Source organism: Homo sapiens, chromosome 10, assembly GCF_000001405.40.
Source record: "Homo sapiens chromosome 10, GRCh38.p14 Primary Assembly".
NCBI lineage: Eukaryota > Metazoa > Chordata > Mammalia > Primates > Hominidae > Homo > Homo sapiens.
In genome coordinates this window covers 102,458,847-102,478,971 of record NC_000010.11, presented here as the reverse complement: position 1 = coordinate 102,478,971, position 20,125 = coordinate 102,458,847, and the positions used below count along the sequence as shown (strand labels likewise).

The following is a 20,125-nucleotide window of genomic DNA, read 5'->3' as shown; positions in this document are numbered from 1 at the left end:
GATGACAGGAGCAGCTCTCAACATCCCTGAAATCAAAGATTCTCAAAACTGTCAAGTGAATAAGAAGGCCAGGAGCTTGGCCGGGCACGGTGGCTCACGCCACACCTGTAATCCCAGCACTTTGGGAGGCCAAGGCAAGTGCATCATAAGGTCAGGAGTTCAAGACCAGCCTGGCCAAGATGGTGAGATCCCGTCTCTACTAAAAACTACAAAAATTAGCCGGGCGTGGTGGCAGGCGCCTGTAATCCCAGCTACTCAGGAGGCTGACGCAGGAGAATCGCTTGAACCCGGGCAGTAGAGGTTGCAGTGAGCTGAGATCGCACCAGCCTGGGCGACAGAGTAAGACTCTGTCTCAAAAAAAAAAAAAAAAAAAAGAAGAAGGCCAGGAGCTTATTACAGTGCAGTTTCCAGGGCCCATACTCAGATATCCTGATTAATCACTTCTCCGTTTAAAACCTGCACTTGGGAGGAAAATTGCCAGGTCTTTGCCAAATGGTAACTATTTAATCTTCCCAATAACCTTACAAAATATACGTGCTTTTGTTGTCCATTTTACAGATAAGGATTTGGAGCCACAGAAAGATTAAGCAATTTTCCAAAGTTCTGCCTTTTTTTTTTTTTTTTTTTTTTTTTGAGATCATGTCTCACTTTGTCACCAGGCTAGAGTACAGAGGCACAATCTCAATCTCCGCTCACTGCAACCTCTGCCTCCTGGGTTCAAGCAATTCTCCTGCCTCAGCCTCCCAAGTATCTGGGATTACAGGTGCCTGCCACTGTGCCCAGCTAATTTTCATATTTTTAATAAAGATGGGGTTTGACCATGTTGGCCAAGCTAGTCTCGAACTTCTGACCTCAGGTGATCTGCCTGCCTCGGCCTCCCAAAGTGCTGGGATTACAGGTGTGAGCCACCGTGCCCAGCGCTGGCCTTTCTTAATCCCGAATGTAAACCCAGGCCATAGAACCTACAGCCTACATTTTTAATCACCATGCAGCCTGTAAAAAACCATTGGCCTAGAGCAGTGGTTCCCAATTGGAACCAATTTTGCCTCCCAGGACACATCTGGCAATGCCTGGAGATGTATTTGTTTGTCGCAACTGGTGTGTGTGTGGGGTGGGGTGGGGGGTGCTAAATGTCTACAACAGAGAACAATCTGGCCCCAAATATCTCCAGTGCTAGTGCCAAGGTTGAGAAATGGTGGCTGAGAGTCATGGTTTTCAGTGCCAGCTGCATGATAAAATCACCTACAGAGATGTTCAAAATCCTACTGCCCAGGCCATACCCCAGACACATTAAGTCAGAATCCCAAGGAATGGAACTGAGATGTCAGTATTTTTTAAGTTCCCCAGGGGACCCCAAGGCTGAGAACCTCGGGCCTAAAAGAGGCTCCTCTCTCTTTGACTACCATGTCCAGCAGTGATACATGGGAAATGCACTGAGGCCTAATGGTCATTTTGGGCCCGAGTGCCTATGCAGTTACCAATCTATGTTTTTCTCCCTGGCATCTTGGTAACCCACCAAGGTGGGTTTTTTTTTTCTTTGAGATGGAGTCTCATTCTGTCGCCCAGGTTGGAGTGCATGCAGTGGCGCGATCAATGCAACCTCCTCCTCCTGGGTTCAAGCGATTCTCCTGCCCCAGCCTCCCAAGTAGCTGGGATTACAGGCACACACCACTACACCTGGCTAATTTTTGTATTTTTAGTAGAGATGGGGTTTTGCCATGTTGGCTCAGGCTGGTCTCAAACTCCAGACCTCAGGTGATCCACCCACCTCGGCTTCCCAAAGTGCTGGGATTACAGGCATGAGCCACTGCGCCCGGCCTACCTACCACTCTTATTCAGAAAAATGCTCTCAGGGGCTTTTTCTAGTCAGTAAGGAATCCTGGTTCTCAACCCCAGCAACCCACCACTCACTCACACAGCACAGACTTGAGGAAAAAGAATGGCTGACTTTAATCAGTCTATAAGGAAATAAACATCTTTAGAGGCCGTGTGGGGGTGGGGGAGCCCTGCAGCAGAGGAGGCATGCCACTTCAAGCACAGCTGAAGCAGAGAAACCTCTCAGAGAAACCACTAGAAGGGTGGACGGAGTGGGAGGTGGGACTTACAGTCAGCTTTCCCTGACTGGGCAAAAGGGAGCAGTTGCAGTATTAAAAGTGGTTCCTGAGTCCACCACAGCGGCCAGCTCCAGTCAGGCAGCGGGATGGGCTCCCACGCCCCATGGCAGGCCTGTGTGCACCACAGGGCAGCCCCCTCCCTTCTTGGTCCTCTTCTGTCCTCCTGCCTTACAAGAGAAGCACGTCCCTGAGCACATATGGCCCAGCCCTTGCCCAAGCTGAGCCAGACAGGTAAGCAGAGACTTTCACTGCAGTGATGCTTCTGGCTCAGCCCCAGGAGCTACCCGCTGCCATGTCTTCCAGGCTGCACTAGAGGAAGGCAGTGGAGCAGGGTGCTGGTAAAACTAGCTCCTGGCCGAGTGCGGTGGCTCATGCCTGTATTCCCAGCACTTTGGGAGACCAAGGCAGGCAGATCACTTGAGGTCAGGAGTTCGAGACCAGCCTGGCCAATGTGGTGAAACCCTGTCTCTACTAAATAATACAAAAATTAGGTTGGCCACAGTGGCTCACGCCTGTAATCCCAGCACTCTGGGAGGCCGAGGCGGGCTGATCACCTAAGGTCAGGGGTTTGAGACTAGCCTGGCCAACATGATGAAACCCTGTCTCTACTAAAAATACAAAAAGTAGCCGGGCATGGTGGCACGCTCCTATAATCCCACCTACTCGGGAGGCTGAGGCAGGATAATTGCTTGAACCTGGGTGGTGGTTTCAGTGAGCCCAGATTGCACCACTGCAACAGATCCATTTTTTTGGGCAACAGCTCCAAAAAAAAAAAAAAAAAACTATGAAATCCTTAAAAAAAAAACCAAAAAAAACTGGCTCCTTCCCCAGGCTGCCAGCAGCATCCTCAGTGGGGTGACCTTGCCACAGCTCTCACACCATCTTAACATCCAGGGTTTGGGCCTGTGACAGGTTCTGGCGCTGGGCCTTGACCATGTGCAGGCGTCTCCCATGCAGCGTGAACTGGGACCAGGTGAAGAGCTGCAGCAGAGCACAGGTGATGGGCACCAGCACCAGCAGGTAGAAGCAGCCCTGGCGGAGCGTCGGGGCCTGTGCAGGGGCTGGAGCTGGGGGCTCTGGCCAGGGATGGGCACTCCCCACAGGGGTTATGAGGGACTGCTGGAAGAGGTCATGACCTAGGACAAGAGAGCACAGAAAGACCATGGTCAGCCCACTGTCCTCCAAGCCTTGGTGCCCTCCAAGTCTATGGTGTGACATCTCAGACACCACATGGACGTGTCCAGACCACAACTCCTGATTCCTCCAAACCCACTCCTCTCCTACTCTTCCCATCTCAGTGACGGGCACCACCATCCACCCAATAACTCAGGCCCAAAACCTCAAAGTCCTCCTCAGTTCCCTGGTTGGTTTCACGCCATCACTCCCCAACACCCAATCCTTCATCTCCCCCCAACTCCAAAACGTATCCCACCTGCCACCACCCTGGCCCAAGTCTCCACGGCCTCTGCCAGTCTCCCAAAGATGTCCCTGCTGTCCCCATTCTGGCCTCCCTATGATCTGCTGTCCATATGGCAGCCAGAGTGAACTTTTTTTTTTTTGGAAAGAGGGAGTCTCGCTCTGTCACCTAGGCTGGAGTGAAGTAGCACGATCTCCACTCACTGCAACCTCGGCCTCCCAGTTTCAAGCGATTCTCCTGCCTCAGCTTCCCAAATAGCTGGGGCTACAGGCATGCGCCACCACACCCAGCTAATTTTTGTATTTTTTAGTAGAGGCGGGGGTTTCACTATATGTTGACCAGGCTGGTCTCAAACTCCTGACCTCAGGTGATCTGCCCTCCTCAGCCTCCCAAAGTGCTGGGATTACAGGTGTGAGCCACCTCACCCAGCCCAGAGTGAATTTTGTTAAAAAGTCAATCACACTACGTCACTTCCCTGTTTAAAACCCTCCCTGGCCGGGCGTGGTGGCTCATGCCTGTAATCCCAGCACTTTGGGAGGCCAAGGTGGGTGGATCACCTGAGCTCAGGAGTTTGAGACCAGCCTGGGCAACCTGGCAAAACCCCATCTCTACATAAAATACAAAAAGTTACCCAGGCATGGTGGCATACGCCTGTGGTCCCAACTACTTGGGAGGCTAGGTGGCAGGCTCACTTGAACCTGGGAGGTCGAGGCTGCAGTGAGCCAAGATCGTGCCACTGCACTCCAGCCTGGGTGACAGGGAGACCCTATCTCAAAAAGTAAATAAATAAATAAATAAAAATAAAACCCTCCCAACAGCTTGCTTCCAACACTGCCCTGATCAACAAAGTCCTCTTCGCTTTTCCAGCCACATTTCCTAATCACCCCTGACACCCTGGGCCTTTGCGCCTGCTGTTCCCTCTGCCTGCGATTCACTGAGACCTTTTCTAGACAAATCCTTGCCATTCAGCTCACATCCTGAGGGGCACCTTCTCGGAGAGGCCTTCCCTGATAATACTACATAGCTTCTTGGTCACGCCATCTCACATCACCTTAATTTCACCATAACACTATTACTGCCTGATAATGTCTTGTTTGGATGTTTATTGCCAACCCCAGCCCACCCCTGACTAGAATACAAGCTCCGTGGTGGCAAAGACTTTGTCTATCTTATTCATGGTTAGCTCCCTGGCACCCACAGCAGGACCTGCAGAGAAGGGATTCCGTACATATTTGTTGAATGAATGAATAAATGAATGAACTAAGAAAGCATGGCGGAATCGGTGACCCAGTGACTCTAGCCATGTTGAGGGGACGCCAGTTGCCACCTTCCGTCACTGGACCCAGAGCCCAGGCTTGCCAGCCACTGTGCCAGGTAAGCTGTGCCCCCTGGAGCCTTAAGAGCCCTTGCCTGCTACCAGGCCCTCACCTGTGTAGAAACAGAGCAGCCAGGTGCCCAGCAGCGGGGCAAAGGTCTGGCCTGGCTTGGTCACCAAGGCAACCATGCCAAAGAGGAGTGCCGAGGCTGCCTGCTTGCGGTGGTTCAGCACCAGGTCCTCGTCTACCAGGTCAGTGACCACCAAGGTCAGCAGCTTACAGGTGCCCTCAGTGAAGACGCGGTTGCTGCAGTAGAGGGAGAGAGCAGGCAGGAATGAAGGCATGGGATGGAGGTGTTGCGGGGAGCGTGGGCAGGGGCATACCTGGCAATGAAGAGGCACAGCAGGCTGAGGTGGTCCGGGCCGGCCAACAACATGAGCAGGCTAAGTCCCAGCTTGAGCAGGAAGAGCCCCCGCACCACCGCGTAGACGCCCCAGCGCCGGCACAGGGACAGGAAGTAGAGGTTGTTGAGATGGGGAGCGACATAGGAGAGGCCTGGGGAGGAAGACGGGGAGCCACCTTGTCAAGGGCACTGCTGCAGTGCCAGTGAGCGCCATCAGCTTCACAGCCGACTGCATTCCTGTACACTAGCGATGCACTGGGCTCTGTGCTAAGAGCTTCACTGTCTTAGTTCATCTTCACAGCCCCTTAAGGTGAGTACTATTATCATCCCCACTTTACGGATGAGAAAGAGAGGCCCAAAAAGATGAACTAACCCACCTGAGGCTGCCCACCAAATGAGCACAGAGTCAAGACTCACACCCAGGCCCATCAGATGATATTCCTCTGTGTTAACCAGCCACTGCACCCCCTCAGGGTGCCACCATCTCCAAGAGGACCCACACCAGCACAGCCTCCGCCCCCCTCAACACCCACCACACCCTGCCCCCCATGCCCACTGCACCCGGCAGCACTTGGTGTCTTAAAAAGATTGTCCCTGGCTGGGCGCAGTGGCTCACACCTGTAATCCCAGTACTTTGGGAGGCAGAGGCAGGTGGATCACTGGGTCGGGAAATGGAGACCATCCTGGCTAATACGGTGAAACCCCATCTCTACTAAAAATACAGGTCTCTCTCCTTCCAGCTTGCATGAAGCACCCAAGGTCCACACTCACCCAACAGGATGGAGCCCGTGGAAAGGGAGATATGGTCGGACAACAGATGCTCCAGGAAGAGAGGGAAGAAGTTGCTGTTGAAGTGGCAGTGGAAGACCTGCAACCCGACAGGGATGGTGAGGAGGCTTCCAGTGGGAGGAGAGCTGACAAGGCCAGAAGCCAACAGGGGAACACACATCCCCCCCAACTCCCCATCCTCAGAGCAGCAAGAGCGAGAGCAGGCCTTTTTCCCCATGTCCCTAAACACAGAACATGCCAGAACACAACCTAAAACCACATTCCTGGTGCTATCTAACTTTGCTAAAAAGTTAGAAGCCACGGCAAAATAGTACTGGAGCAATTAAAAGCTTTTTCTTTTTAATTGAAAACACATTAGTGAGGCTCGGCACAGGGGCTCACACTTGTAATCCTAGCACCTTAGCACTTTGGGAGGCCAAGGCAGGCAGATCACTTAAGGCCAGGAGTTTGAGACCAGCATGGCCAACATGGCGAAACCCCGTCTCTACTAAAAATATAAAAACTTAGTCGGGTGTTGTGTTGCATGCCTATAATCCCAGCTACCCAGGAAGCTGAGGTGGGAGAATCATTTGAACCCAGGAGGCAGAGGTTGCAGTGAGCCTAGATCATGCCACTACACTCCAGCCTGGGCAACAAAGTGAGAAGAAAAAAAAAAGAAAAGAAAACACATTAGTGAAACAAATTTCATAACATGAAAACAGTTTATTTCTAAGTTCAGCCAGTTTATATACTGCATGTTTTAGGTACAGCACTTAGCTCTTCTTTTTTTAGAGATGGAGCCTTTCTCTGCCGCCCAGGCTGGAGTGCAGTGGTGCAATCATAACTCATTGCAGCCTCGAACTCCTGGGCTCAAGCGGTCTTTCCACCTTGGCGTCCCGAAGTGCTGGGATTACAGGCGTGAGCCACTGCACCTGGCAGTGGTTGCTGTCTTAAAAAGATTGTTAGAGGGTCCCCAAAGGGGGCATCTCTGTCTCATATCCTCACTTTACAGGAGAGGACAGGGCTACCCAGAGAGCCTGAGACCTGCCTAAGATCACATAGGGAGGGAAAAGCTCAGAGGGAGCTAGAATCCAGGCCTCCTGACTACTCAACCTGCATTCCTGCCATCGAATTGCCCAGCAGACCTCCTGGGTGGCCCAGAACTCAGTTCCCAGCTCTTTTTTTTTTTTTCTTTGAGAAGGAGTCTCACTCTGTTGCCCAGACTGGAGTACAGTGGTGCCATCTTAGCTCACTGCAACCTCCGCCTTCCGGGTTCAAGTGATTCTCCTGCCTCAGCCTCCCAAGTAGTTGGAATTACAGATATGCTGGAATTACACCACGCCCAGCTAATTTTTGTATTTTTATGGGGTTTCGCCATGTTAGCCAGGCTGGTCTCGAACCCCTGTCCTCAAGTGATCCACCCACCTCAGCCTCCCAAAGTGCTGGGACTACAGGCATGAGCCACCATGCGTGGCCAAGTTCCCAGCTCTTGAGGAGTCTGTCCCCTTGAGTGAAGTCCAGCCCAGCTGTAGAGGGGCCGGGAGCTGCTCCCCATACCTGCACCAGGTCCATGCTCACGAACCACAGGAAGTTCCGATGGCGTGCCAGCTGCCGGAGATACCGGCCCAAGGTGATGCTGTCCGCCTCCTCACTGCCTACAAGCAGCTCCTCTCCACACAGGCTATGGGGCAGAAGGGAGTGGAGAACTGCCTGGGGCTGGCCAGAGTTATCCCCCAACACATCCCAGGGCAGCCCCCATCAGCCGGGGACCCAGCACCGAAATCAGACTTAGAAGGTTGCTGGTGAGGACCTGAAGAGCCGGGGCTGGCCACTCACCCGCTATCCACAACCAGGCCTGAGCACCCTGGGTCCTTTCGGGCCGCCTCAACCCGCCGCCTCAGCAGCTGTGTGGCCCCCAGAAAGCCCAGCCCAGAGCTGACAGCCAGTGTCACGCAGAAAGCGCGGAAGGAGGAGAAATCCTCCTTGTTCCAAAAGGCATAGGATGCAAAGACAGAGAGGGAGCCGGCCGCGCTGAAGAGGGAGCAGTAGAAGTTGAGGTGGGTGCGGTCGTGGGCTGAGAGGGCCAGGTCGGCCAGCAAGGCATGGTGGTGCAGGTCCACGAGCGTCAGGAAGCCATCATAGAGGCACAGGCACAGCAAGAACTGCAGGCCAGCTGGGGCCCAGGGCACCCAGAACGCCAGGAACGACAGCGCCAGCAGCGGCCCATGCCAGCCCAGGGCCTGCACCCGGGCCAGCACCACAGCCCTTGAGGAGAGCCCGGCGCCTGACCTGCCGGGGAAAGGAGAGTTGTTGGGAGATGCCGTGTCAGACTTGGCAGGCTGAAGTTCCCCTTGCCCAGGCCCCAGGGGAGGGATGGAGGCCCAGGGTGTGGGACTCACAACAGGGTGGTGCCACTGTCCCCTAAGTCCCCAGTCTGCAACTTAGGAAGCACAACTCACCAGTGGGTACACTCTCCTCCTCTGCCCCAATTTCCACCCCCTTATTAGCCTGTTGGGCTGATGGCCAAAGGGTATGGGATGCCCACTTCTCAAGGTTGGGGGTGATGACGGGCTCAAGCAGGGATGGGGCAAAGGAATCTTCCAGAAGCAGCAGAGGGTGTTTGCAGTCCACAGTCCAGAGGGGCCAACCAAGCCAAGCCAGGGTAGATCTCTTCCCCTGCCGAGCCAGGCAAGTGTACGTCCAAGGCCACCTCTCCAACCCAAACAGAGCACCCTGGACCCCAGTAAGGGAAGAGCCATGGGCAACACTGAAATAGTCTCCCCTTCCTTCCCCACCCCAAACACAGGCAGGGGTCCTCCCTCCTGGGTAGCAGTAGGGTGGGACTGAACCAATTACGAGCTGTTCCCAATACACCAACCGGGGCTGGGAGCTGAGGAACTGCCGGTCACTGAGCCAACCGAAGAGGGGGTCATTGAGGCTGTTCCAGAGGAGAAACACTGTCTGCAGGCAGAGGGGAGACAGGAAGGTGGGCTCTAGACAGCATCCTCTCCAGGGCTCCTCCCCCCTCAGCCTGCTCACCACCCCTGAAAGATGGCCCCAGCTTTCCTACCTGCAAACCTTTGCTGGTGTCAGTTCCTCTGCTAAAACCCACTCTGGCCAGGCGCTGGTGGCTCACACCAGCACTTTGGGAGGCCGAGGCAGGTGGATCACCTGAGGTCAGGAGTTTGAGACCAGCCTGGCCAACATGGCGAAACCCCGTCTCTACTAAAAATACAAAAATTAGCCGGGCGTGGTGGCGGGTGCTTGTAATCCCATCTACTCATGAGGTTGAGACAGGAGAATCACTTGAACCACGAAGGCGGAGGTTGCAGTGAGCTGAGATTGCGCCATTGCACTCCAGCCTGTGAGACAAAAGTGAAACTCCATCTCAAAAAAAAAAACAAAAAAACCTACTCTGCCAGTCAAACCACTGCCCCCTTCAAACTCCCACCCATCCAGGGCCCAGCTGGTAAATGTATGCAGCTGATAAATTCATATACGTGAACATATTATATATATGAGTACACAGAACAGCAACTATGTAAGACAGTGGCCAGGAAAGCTAGTCTAGTCCCCATCGAGGAGGAGTCATCAAGGCCTCCACAGCTTTTCTTGATGAGTCTTGGTGAACAACCTGGACTGCCCAGGCCTCTGACTGGGTGGGACCAGGCACCTGCAATCTGCCCAGCAGCCTGGGCAGCCTCTAGTCTCCACCCCACCCCCTCCTCCATGTTAGCCACCCAGCACTGGCCCTACCTCTCCGACCCAGAAGGCCATTTTGTTGATCTTGTACACTGAGACAAAGGTGTCCACATAGTAGAGCAGGAAGACATTGTGCAGGATGGTGGTGAAGAGAGCCAGGGAGCCATAGACCACAGCTGTGGGCAGACCCAGCAACCAGGCCTGGGGCTGACCCAGCCCCATGGCTGCAGCCCCAGCCTTAGCCCCAGGAGCACCGGGGAGGGCTCATGGCCACAGGCGGTCTTCCCATCCTCGTCCCTGGGGAAGAAGGAACCAGTGAGCAACAGGGATCAGAGCCAGCTCTGTTCTTAACCCCAGACCTCTGAATCATTTAAAAACTCATTTCCAACAGGAGAGAGTTTGTACTTACAACAGCGCTGGGAATTATGAATGAAGTATAACAGAAACAGTGCTGAGCTAGACACCACTAATCTGGGAGTGACTCGAGGAAACAGAGAGCCTGTGGGAAGAGACGGCAGACACCCAGCAAGTGCTGAGCCAGGTCGCGTGCCAGGGCTGGATGCTCGATGTCTTTTTTTTTTTTTTGAGACAGAGTCTCGCTCTGTTGCCCAGGCTGGAGTGCAGTAGCCAGATCTCCGCTCACTGTAAGCTCCACCTCCCGGATTCACGCCATTCTCCTGCCTCAGCCTCCCGAGTAGCTGGGACCACAGGCACCCGCCGCCACGCCCGGCTAATTTTTTGTATTTTTAGTAGAGACGGGGTTTCATTCACCAGGATGGTCTCGATCTCCTGACCTTGTGATCCACCCACCTCGGCCTCCCAAAGTGCTGAGATTGCCTCATTGTCTTCTTAAATTGCACTGTGTGACTTTAATGGTCTAGACGGGACAACCCTGAGCTTGGGCACACAATGCACTTACAGTAAAACGTCAGGCAGTTACCCAACCCAGGCCTTAGCTTCCTCTTCTGCAAAAGGTAAAAGGAGATTGTTAGGCCTATTTTGCAAATCATAAGGATTAAACAAGGTAACTCACAGAAAGCACTCACTGTTGGTATTGATAAGGAAGACGGGAAGGGAAGTGCCAGAAACGGAAGAATGTGGTCCCTTTAAATGATATGGAATCAGGGAAGGGAAGTGCTGGGTAGAGGAGGGCGTGGTCCCTGGCTAGGGCTCCACCCCTGGGCCTGACCTAGGTGAGGACAGGCATTTTTTTTTTTCCTGCCCAAATGTTGCATTTCCCAAGACCACCCGGCCCACCACACCCCCATCCTATGCTTATAAAAACCCTGAGACCCAGCCGGGTGCCGTGGCTCACGCCTGTAATAAGGCACTTTGGGAGGCCGGGGTAGGCGGATCACCTGAGGTCAGGAGTTCAAGACCAGCCTGGCCAACACGGTGAAACCCCGTCTCTACTAAAAATACAAAAAATTAGCCGGGCATGGTGGCACATGCCTGTAATCCCAGCTACTAGGGAGGCTGAGGGAGGAGAATTGCTTGAACCCGGGAGGCAGAGGCTGCAGTGAGCCAAGATTGCGCCAACGCACTCTAGCCTGGGCACCAAGAGCGAAACTCAGTCTCAAAAAGAAAAAAAGAAGAAGCACTGTAAGCCTGCAAGTCCCCACCACCACCCCCGTGGGCCACAGTGATCCTATCTTGTCCCAAGGCAGGAGGATGGCCTTTCCCTGAGGCCCTTGAACCCCCTGAAGAAAATGCATTTCTTTTTTTCCTCAAAGCTTTATTCAGGTCTAATTGACAAACACTAAACTGCACAGTTTTCAAAGCATGCAAGCTGATAAGTTTTACCATATGCATGTACCTGTGAAATCATAACCACAAACAAGATAATGAACACATCTATTACCCTACATTCCCTCGACACTGCTTTTCTGAGTAACGTATGTTAAAAAGACATATGGGGCTGGGCGGAGTGGCTCACACCTGTAATCCCAGCACTTTGGGAGGCCAAGGTGGGCAGATCACTTGAGGCCAGGAATTTGAGACCAGTCTGGCCAACATGGCACAACCTCGTCTCTACTAAAAATACAAAAATTAGCCGGCGTGGTGGCGGGCGCCTGTAATCCCAGCTACTGGGGAGCTGAGGCAGGAGAATCGCTTGAACCCCAGAGGTGGAGGTTACAGTGAGCCCAGAACATGCCACTACACTTCAGCCTGGGCGACGGAGCAAGACTCTACCTCAAAAAGAAATAAATACAAATAAATGTTTAAAAATGGTGAGCATTAAAGCTTTACAGATCATTACTATCCAACCTCTCAGCCCTTCCCTAAAATGGAGAGGCCCCATGCCCGCCACACAGGGCTGAGGTGGGAATTAAATGAGACGCTCTCTAAAGGTGCTTAGGGCTGTAAAGCACAATGTCCGCCTCTGTCACTATCCTTAGCAGGGTCACTTACTCCAATTCCTCCAGGGCTTTCAGAACTCTCCTGCCTTTGTCAAAATGGAGTGAAGGCTCCCCCCGCCTACCCAGATGCCCAGTGATTTGTCCTTGTTGCTGGAGAAGGTGAGCCCTGAACACAAGGTCCCCAGCCTCCCCCAGCCACCTCCCTGCACCCACACTGGGTAGAAGAAAACCTCAAAGGTTAATGAGATGGAACAGGTATGACCTTTGCCATCAGCAGGGCCTGGGTTCAAATCCCAACTGTACTTCCTACTAAGAGTGTAACCTCAGGCAATTCAACCCTTCTGGGCCGGAGTTTCCTCATCTATAAAATCAGGTAATAATGCTTATCTTTTTTTTTTTTTTTTTTTTTGAGGTGGAGTCTTGCTCTGTTGCCCAGGCTGGAGTGTAATGGTGCAATCTTGGCTCACTGCAACCTCCGCTTCCCAGGTTCAAGCAATTCTCCCACCTCAGCCTCCCGAGTAGCTGGGATTACAGGCACCTGCCATCATGCCCAGCTTATTTTTGTATTTTTGTAGAGATGGGGTTTCACCATGTTGCCCAGGCTGGTCTTGAACTCCTGACCTCAGGTGATCTACCCACCTCAGCCTCCCAAAGTGCTGGGATTACAGGTGTGAGCCACCGCGCCTGGCCAATAATGCCTATCTTTACAGGGGTACAGAAAGGATTAAACAAATGTCCAGGAAGCACAGAGCACCGTGCTGTCACACGGAAGATGCTCAGAAAGTAGCTTTTTATTGGGCTCACCTAGATCAGGGTAGGAGCAGGTAAATATCCTTGTAATCGGGCTCCTTCCTCAGGTAAGGGAATTTGAAAAGATGGGTCACACGAGGAAAAGTCAGAAGATGGGGGCCTGCAAGGAGCAGGAACACATACAATGTTTGAGAATGCCAAAGACAAACTGCCCCCGGCCCCCTGTAGACCTGTGCCAACTGCAACTTGTCCAGGTAAACAGCCATCCTGGAGAGGAAGCTGAGGCAGGAGTGTGCAGGGTTACTCTTTTAATGTTTTCTCTTCCAGATTCCACTCCTCCATCGGGAAACAGCCTTCTCCCACTTGCCCTCCCCACCCTCAATCTGCCCCAGCAGAGAACAGCAGCCCCACCTCTCCCAGGGAAGAACAGCTTGGAGCCCACACCAGCCTCCTTGCATAAGCTGGTGAGAAATCCTGTAACCTGCAACCAACTCCACCCACCTCCCTGGCACCTTCCAAGACCCACCCTCATGGTCCCAGCTGGTGGCCTTGAGCCAGTCACTCCCTCTCCCTGAGCCTCAGGCTCCTCGCCCACAAAGTGGGGATGTTAATGTCAACCTCTTAGATGGCTGTGGGCTGAAATGCAAAAGGAATTTAAAGCCAAGTGCCTGCTACGTGGAAGACCCTCAATACACAGCAGCTATTTTTTTTTTTTTAAAGATAGAGTCTCGCTCTGTCACGCAGGCTGGAGTGCAGTGGCTCAATCTCAGCTCACTGCAACCTCCGCCTCCTGGGTTCAAGCAATTCTCCTTCCTCAGTCTCCTCAGTAGCTGGGATTACAGGCGCCTGCCACCACACTCGGCTAATTTTTTTTCTTTTTGTAGAGATGGAGTCTTGCTCTGTCGCCCAGGCTGGAGTGCAGTGGCGCAATCTAGGCTCACTGCAACCTCTGCCTCCTGGGTTCAAGCCATTCTCCTGCCTCAGCCTCCTGAGTAGCTGGGATTTACAGGCGCACGCCACCACACTCGGCAAATTTTTTTTTTGTATATTTAGTAGAGACGGGGTTTCACCATATTGGTCAGGCTGGTCTCAAACTCCTGACCTTGTGATCCGCCTGCCTCGGCCTCCCAAAGTACTGGGATTGCAGCCATGAGCCTCCACACCCGGCCTAATTTTTGTATTTTTCATAGAACTGGGGTTTCACCATATTGGCCAGGCTGGTCTTGAACTCCTGACCTCAAGTGATTTACCTGCCTCGGCCTCCCAAAGTGTTGGGATTACAGGTGTGAGCCACTATGCCTGGCCCACAGTAGCCATTTTCTTTTTCTTTTTCCTCTTTTTTTTTTTTTTTTGAGACAGAGTCTCGCTCTGTTGCCCAGGCTGGAGTGCAGTGGCACAATCTCGGCTTACTGCAACCTCTGCCTCCCAGGTTCAAGCAATTCTCCTGCTTCAGCCACCCGAGTAGCTGGGATTACAGGCATGCACCACCACGCCCAGCTAATTTTTGTATTTTTAGTAGAGACAGGGTTTCACCATGTTGGTCAGGTTAGTCTTGAACTCCTGACCTTGTGATCCACCCACCTTGGCCTCCCAAACTGCTGGGATTACAGGCATGAGCCACTGCGCCCGGCCTACAGTAGCCATTTTCTTTCCATTTCTTTGAAGTTTGGTTTCATGATTTTTTTTTTTTTGAGACGGAGTCTCACTCTGTCGCCCAGGCTAGAGTGCAGTGGTGGGATCTTGGCTCACTGCAACCTCCGCCTCCCAGGTTCAAGAAATTTTCCTGCCTCAGCCTCCCAAATGGTTGGGATCACAGGCGTGCGCCACCATGCCTGGCTAATTTTTGTATTTTTTGTACAGACGGGGTTTCGCCACGTTGGCCAGGCTGGTCTTGAACTCCTGACCTCAAGCAATCCGCCCGCCTTGGCCTCCTGAAGTGCTGGCTCACAGGCGAGAGCCACCGTGTGGTTTCATGATCTTTAAAGATCAGTCACTAGGTGGGGCGTTGTGGCTCATGCCTGTAATTTTAGGACTTGGGAAGGCCAAGACAGAAGGATTACTTGGGGCCAGAAGTTAGAGACCAGCTGGGGCAACATCAATCAAAAATAAAAATCATTGACCTTTCTGCCAAATCCATGATTGAAATTGTCTTTCCAGCACCCAAGCTTTATGCCTTTTGCCACCTGGAATATCCTAGCCCCTCTTGTCTGCCATCCATCAAATTCCTTTCTAAATGCCACCTCCACACTTTTGTTCATGCTGTTCCTGTCACCTAAGATACCCTAGGATAACTATATACTATTCCTCAGCCATACAGGGTATGCTTGGCTTTTATATCCATCATCAGACCCCTTACAGCTCTGTTACTATCTGCATTCACGTTCTGTACATGAAGAAACCAAGGCTCTGAAGATTAAATAACAGGCCCAAGTTACAAAGCTAGTAGGTGCTGGAGTCAAGATTCAAAACAGGTTTTGACTAAAACAACAGCGTTCTCACTTCATCATCCCCCCCACACCCTGCCCCCATCTTATCAAATCCTGCTCATCCAGTGTCACGGCTTTCCCAAGCACACCCAATCACGTGTTCTCTCCCGTTTTCCCCCTTATCAGGCATCCAAATGCCTCCCTTCCCCTCCTCCAGCCCACAGGCTTCTTAAAAGCAGGGCTGATACCGGGCGCGGTGGCTCACGCCTGTAATCCCAGCACTTGGGGAGGCCGACGCGGGCGAATCACGAGGTCAGGAGATCGAGATCATCCTGGCTAACACGATGAAACCTCCTCTCTACTAAAAATACAAAAATTAGCCAGGCGTGGTGGCGGGCACGCCTGTAGTACCAGCTTACTCGGGAGGCTGAGGCAGAATAGCGTGAACCCGGGAGGAGGAGCTTGCAGTGAGCCGAAATCGCGCCACTGCACTCCAGCCTGGAGGACAGAGTGAGACTCCGTCTCTTAAAAAAAAAAAAAAAAAAAGCAGGGCTGGGTTAGTCCCGCCCTTGATCCCTGCCCTTTGCCTCCACCAGGCTCCCTCAGCTTGCTCAGTCAATCCCTGCTGGGTCGATTGGCCCCTAAAAGGTCAATATCAACAACATCCTCAGCCCTAGGGAACAGCAGCAGCAGTCATAGGAAAACTGTCATCTTCAGACCCCACTGTGCCCCTCCTAGCTCTGTGTTCTGCTTAACTGTGGGAGTCAGAGAGAAGGGGCAGCCTGGGAGGCTTGATGTGCCTCTCTGAGTAAGACACTAAAGCAAGGCAGCAGGTACAAAGAAGAATAGTGATCATAACAGAGGAACATTTATTAAGCTTTCGCCGGGTGCACAGCACTGTGCTAAGAGACACAGAAACAATCTGGGAAGAGAGCTCAGAGCAGCGCGGGAGAAAGGGGCCACATCAGGAAGGGTTTTGTAAACCTTGTGCAAGATTCTATGCTGAGGACAACAGGTGGGGCGCTGGGGGTGGGGAAGTGACAGATCTGTTTGGAAGAAGCCCTCTAGCAGGTGTCAAAACTCTTCCCCTTCACCCTACCAGGCCCCTGGTAGGTAAAGACTAGAAAGGGATGGAAGCAGCAACATCTCCCTGATTTCTGAACCAACCTATGGTGGGTGGGGGAGGTTGATGAATTTAGTGGCGGAAACCAAGAATGCCGAACTGGGCCCCTGGAGTGAGAGGTATCAGACTGTACAAGAGACATTAGTGCAGAGGTAAAAGCTAAGAAGAGGCATAATTTGGAGTCAGGAGCCCTGGGTCAGGTGTGAACATTATCTTTAACTTACTATCTGAGTCTATTCCTACATCTGTGAAGCAGAGAAAACAATTCCATTCTCTGCCTATCCTCAGGAATACCAAATGAACAAATGAACATGAAAGGTATAATATGTGCCCTTTTCTCAACAGGCAGCTGACCCCTGAATTGTCTGCTGTGTTTCCTGTTTCACTCTCGGGGTCTTGTCTTCCTGCCCAGTCTCCCCACAGCAGGGTCTAGCACCAGGGTTGGGGGGTGGGGGCCCATCCTCCTCCTCCGGCTGGAAATGAGCTTTCAACTTGTTGAGATGGGGACCTTCTCCCTCTCCCTCCCCCACAGGTCCCAGAAGAGGCGACAGCTTCACCTCAGGACCACCCACCCCTCCCAAGCCACTGAGGAGTTTGGGATCAGCCCAGGAGCTCTTCACTCAATAGCTGGTGCTGAAACACGTGTAGGGCTGCTCCCCACCGCCTGCACGTTAAAATCACCTGAGGAGCTGTGCAATAATACCGAGGCCCAGGCCTCACCCAGAACAGTTAAATCGGAATCTCTTCGGGCGGGCCCAGCATCGGTGTTTTTCAAAGCTCCCCAAGTGCCACCAGGGTTAAATGCCTTTATGCTAATGGCACGGATCCCGACCTGACCAGTGCATCCCTCGATCCCAGACCACCAGGGAGCTATTTGACCCACTGCATCCCTTTCCTCCAGACCCCCGGAGAGCCTTTCTGCGAGGATTCCACCCTTGCCCCCTTGAACCCCGCTTCTTCCGCCCGGACCACACAACTCTCCCAATCCACAATATGATCACCCCAAAGACCCCCGCAGATAGCCCCCATGACTCCCAGAGCGCAAAGCATTCCCCTCCCCCTCGGGTCTGTCGTTTGTGCCAGATCGGCCCCAGCCCAGCCCGCTCCTGCCCGCGAGCCCCGGCCGCTGGCCAGCGTCTCACCGCAATCGTAGCCGGCGAAGCCTAATCCCACGGCTGGCGGGAGCCAGGTGCGAGCCAATGCGCCTGCGCGCACTTCTAGGGCTTCCCCAGCCTCTCCCTCCGCCCCCGCCCAGCGATTGGCTCCGCGCGGCCCCCGGGCGCAGCTCCGGCAGGTGACTGCGCCTGAGGCTGCCGCCGCCATGTTTGTCACGGGCGCTTGCCCTTAGCGACCAAAATTAAAAGCGGACACTGGCAAATAGGGTCAGGTTGCCTGGATTCCTGACCGGCTCAACCCCTCTCCTTTACCTCCACGATAGCTTAATGTCATTTCAGTTGAAACCAACACGTTTTTTCTAAGCGCTCACCTTCCTTCCCTCCTTGCCTAGTACTCGTTGGGAGAACAAAGAGAGGTCAGCATCCTCCATTGAGTCTTGTGGTCTGAGCGGATGCACAGCTGCAGCCGACTTGGAGGTGTCAGCGGCTCGATCTGGGACTCCCTGATGCTGCATCATGAGCCCTTCAAGGGTGGACAGGTCCAGGTTGAGCTGTGGGCACCAGGGCTCTAGCCACAGGAGCCAGGGCTGAAGGTGGGAAACAGCCACCAGGGCCTGAATGAGCAACCATGCAGCACAACCTCTTTGTATTAATAACGGCAATAATAAAACCTAAGGAGTACTGAGTGCTTGCTATGTGCACCGTACTACATTCAGAACAACACGTGCATTCTCTTGTTGAGTCCTCACATCATTCCTAGGAGGTAGGCGCTTTTATCCACATTTTATATGTGAAGAAACTGCATTTCAGAGAGATTCAATGACACGCAAACAGCAAGGGCCCAGTCGAGGTGGAACCCGCTATCCTGACTCCCATAACAAGAGTCTTTCCTCTTCCCACACCTGCACAATCCCTCAAAATCAAGTTTTGTTTGGCTCAATGTAGGCTGTGGAGGATGTTTTATGTTTTCTCCCAATTGGCCTGTAAGCCTGGATAGGTTTTTGGGCAAGCAAACAGCACACATTCCAGCTCTGCCTGGTTCCCCTACCTTGGGACACAGGGCAAAAAGCCTGTGGCCTTTGCCTTATGGGGGACTTGGAACTCAACCCCTAGCTCCAACACTTCTTTGCTAAGGGACTTCTTTATTATTATTTTTTGAAACAGGGTCTTGCTCTGTTGCTCAGGCTAGAGTGCAGTGGTGGCATGATCTCAGCTCACTGTAACCTCCACCTCCCTGGCTCAGATGATCCTCTCACCTTAGCCTCCCAAGTTGCTGGGACCACCACCTCACTCCACCATGCCTGGCTAATTTCTAGAATTATTTGTAGAGATGGAGTCTCACTATGTTACCCAGGCTGGTCTTGAACTCCTGGGCTCAAGGGACCCTCCCGCTTCAGCCTCCCAAAGTGCTGGAATGATAAGCGTGAGTCACTGCACCTGGCTGGGACCCTCCTTTTGTGAGTCTGTTTTATGCTTTACAGGGATTTTTCAGACATTAAATGAGAAACAAGGGTGTAGGAGCTTTGTGAACTGCTCATCCTTATGACCTTCATTGATGGTTGTCGGCTAACTTCCTGCAACAGGAATGTTGTCCTCCTCCTAACAACCACAGCAAATGGTCCAATGTAGACGCCTAGTGTCCAGGGGCTACAGATTATTCAACCAGTTCCTGAGGAGCCCCCAGGGATGCCATGAACCTTGCCCCCAGAATCCATCTCCCACTAACCTGTCTCATTTCCCTCCTTCCCAATCTCTCTCTTTCGGACACCCTTCACACTTCCCATGTCACCCCAAGCCACACATACACGCACACACATACATACAACCATCTCTCTTCTAGACTTAGACAACTGCTGAAACTCCTCCTGATCCAGAAAGCCTCATGAGTAGAAGACAGGTGATCATTTTGTCCCTCTCCTCACCTCTTACCTCCATCTGTGCTTTCCTGGCTGTGAGAACAGAAAACCCAGCATTCAGCCTGGGGTCCGGCACACTGGGATCTCCATACATTTGCTAAAGGAGTCTCCCCGCCTTTCTATCTGTGGCCAGCATGTGCTTTTATTTCAAAGCAAACCCGAGTCTTTACTTAGCCCTCCCTGGGTATCCAGTGGGGAAATGGAAATGGGGAGGGCTGGCAGGGGCCAGAGCTGGATGTGACCCAGGAGAAAAGACCTTTGGTCCCTCACAGCCAGGCAAGGTGGCTCACACCTGTAATCCCAGCACTTTGGGAGGCTGAGGTGGTTGGATCACGAGGTCAGGAGATCGAGACCATCCTGGCCAACATAGTGAAACCCCATCTCTACTAAAATACTAAAATTAGCTGGGCGTGGTAGCGTGTGCCTGTAATCCCAGCTACTCAGGAGGCTGAGGGAGGAGAACTGCTTGATCCAGGGAATCGGAATTTGCAGTGAGCCAAGATTGCACCACTGCACTCCAGCCTAGCGACAGAGTGAGACTCTGGCTAAAAAAAAAAAAAAAAGAAAAACAGAAAAAAGAAAAAAAGAAAAGACCTTTGGTCTCTCACGTTGCACTTAATGCCCCACAGTTACACTCTGAGGCCCCTCAACCCTCTGATTATATAGACAACGTAGCCAGTTACCTTTTATGTCAGCATCAGGGCAGGGCCTTGTG

At 52.7% G+C, this 20,125-nt stretch overlaps 1 protein-coding gene and 1 long non-coding RNA gene across 25 annotated transcripts, besides 5 other annotated features; one reads left to right on the top strand and one right to left on the bottom strand.

Moving 5' to 3' along the window:
- Positions 1,927-17,577, bottom strand: SLC68A1 (solute carrier family 68 member 1). Of its 23 annotated transcripts, XM_006717973.4 has the most exons (12): positions 17,522-17,577; positions 12,885-12,990; positions 10,640-10,685; positions 10,130-10,219; positions 9,775-10,017; positions 8,897-8,979; positions 7,855-8,307; positions 7,576-7,699; positions 6,022-6,118; positions 5,231-5,402; positions 4,960-5,153; positions 1,927-3,250 (listed from the first exon to the last, which is right to left on the bottom strand). In XM_006717973.4, exons 5-12 carry the CDS (start codon positions 9,940-9,942, stop codon positions 2,988-2,990), a joined length of 1,554 nt encoding a protein of 517 aa, XP_006718036.1. In that variant the 5' UTR covers positions 9,943-10,017; positions 10,130-10,219; positions 10,640-10,685; positions 12,885-12,990; positions 17,522-17,577; the 3' UTR covers positions 1,927-2,987. The 23 variants fall into 23 exon arrangements, with proteins under 23 accessions (XP_006718036.1, XP_011538462.1, XP_024303939.1 ...); XM_011540160.3 differs by having other exon boundaries at positions 10,130-10,685; XM_024448171.2 differs by lacking the exon at positions 7,855-8,307.
- Positions 5,064-5,507: a silencer, noted in NCBI's record as "fragment chr10:104233222-104233665 (GRCh37/hg19 assembly coordinates)". NCBI's record gives its function as "represses an EF-1alpha promoter that drives an FKBP-Casp9 reporter gene in an ReSE screen in phorbol 12-myristate 13-acetate-treated (for megakaryocytic differentiation) K562 erythroleukemia cells {active_cell/tissue: K562(+PMA)}" and the evidence as "EXISTENCE:reporter gene assay evidence [ECO:0000049][PMID:32094911]".
- Positions 6,057-18,179, top strand: LOC124902493 (uncharacterized). 2 transcript variants are annotated; one of them, XR_007062270.1, is made up of 3 exons: positions 6,057-6,137; positions 13,158-13,294; positions 16,912-18,179. It is a non-coding gene; the product is annotated as an uncharacterized LOC124902493 (long non-coding RNA). The 2 variants fall into 2 exon arrangements; XR_007062271.1 differs by lacking the exon at positions 16,912-18,179 and adding an exon at positions 12,147-12,239 and having other exon boundaries at positions 6,079-6,137; positions 13,158-13,358.
- Positions 16,495-17,177: an enhancer, noted in NCBI's record as "H3K4me1 hESC enhancer chr10:104221552-104222234 (GRCh37/hg19 assembly coordinates)". NCBI's record gives its function as "activates a minimal SCP1, AML or CMV promoter by ChIP-STARR-seq in naive H9 embryonic stem cells {active_cell/tissue: H9 hESC(naive)}" and the evidence as "EXISTENCE:reporter gene assay evidence [ECO:0000049][PMID:30033119]".
- Positions 17,178-17,861: an enhancer, noted in NCBI's record as "H3K4me1 hESC enhancer chr10:104220868-104221551 (GRCh37/hg19 assembly coordinates)". NCBI's record gives its function as "activates a minimal SCP1, AML or CMV promoter by ChIP-STARR-seq in naive H9 embryonic stem cells {active_cell/tissue: H9 hESC(naive)}" and the evidence as "EXISTENCE:reporter gene assay evidence [ECO:0000049][PMID:30033119]".
- Positions 17,499-17,718: a silencer, noted in NCBI's record as "silent region_2762". NCBI's record gives its function as "represses an Ori minimal core promoter by ATAC-STARR-seq in GM12878 lymphoblastoid cells {active_cell/tissue: GM12878}" and the evidence as "EXISTENCE:reporter gene assay evidence [ECO:0000049][PMID:35858748]".
- Positions 17,989-18,058: an enhancer, noted in NCBI's record as "active region_3937". NCBI's record gives its function as "activates an Ori minimal core promoter by ATAC-STARR-seq in GM12878 lymphoblastoid cells {active_cell/tissue: GM12878}" and the evidence as "EXISTENCE:reporter gene assay evidence [ECO:0000049][PMID:35858748]".
- Positions 18,180-20,125: the final 1,946 nt, after the last annotated feature.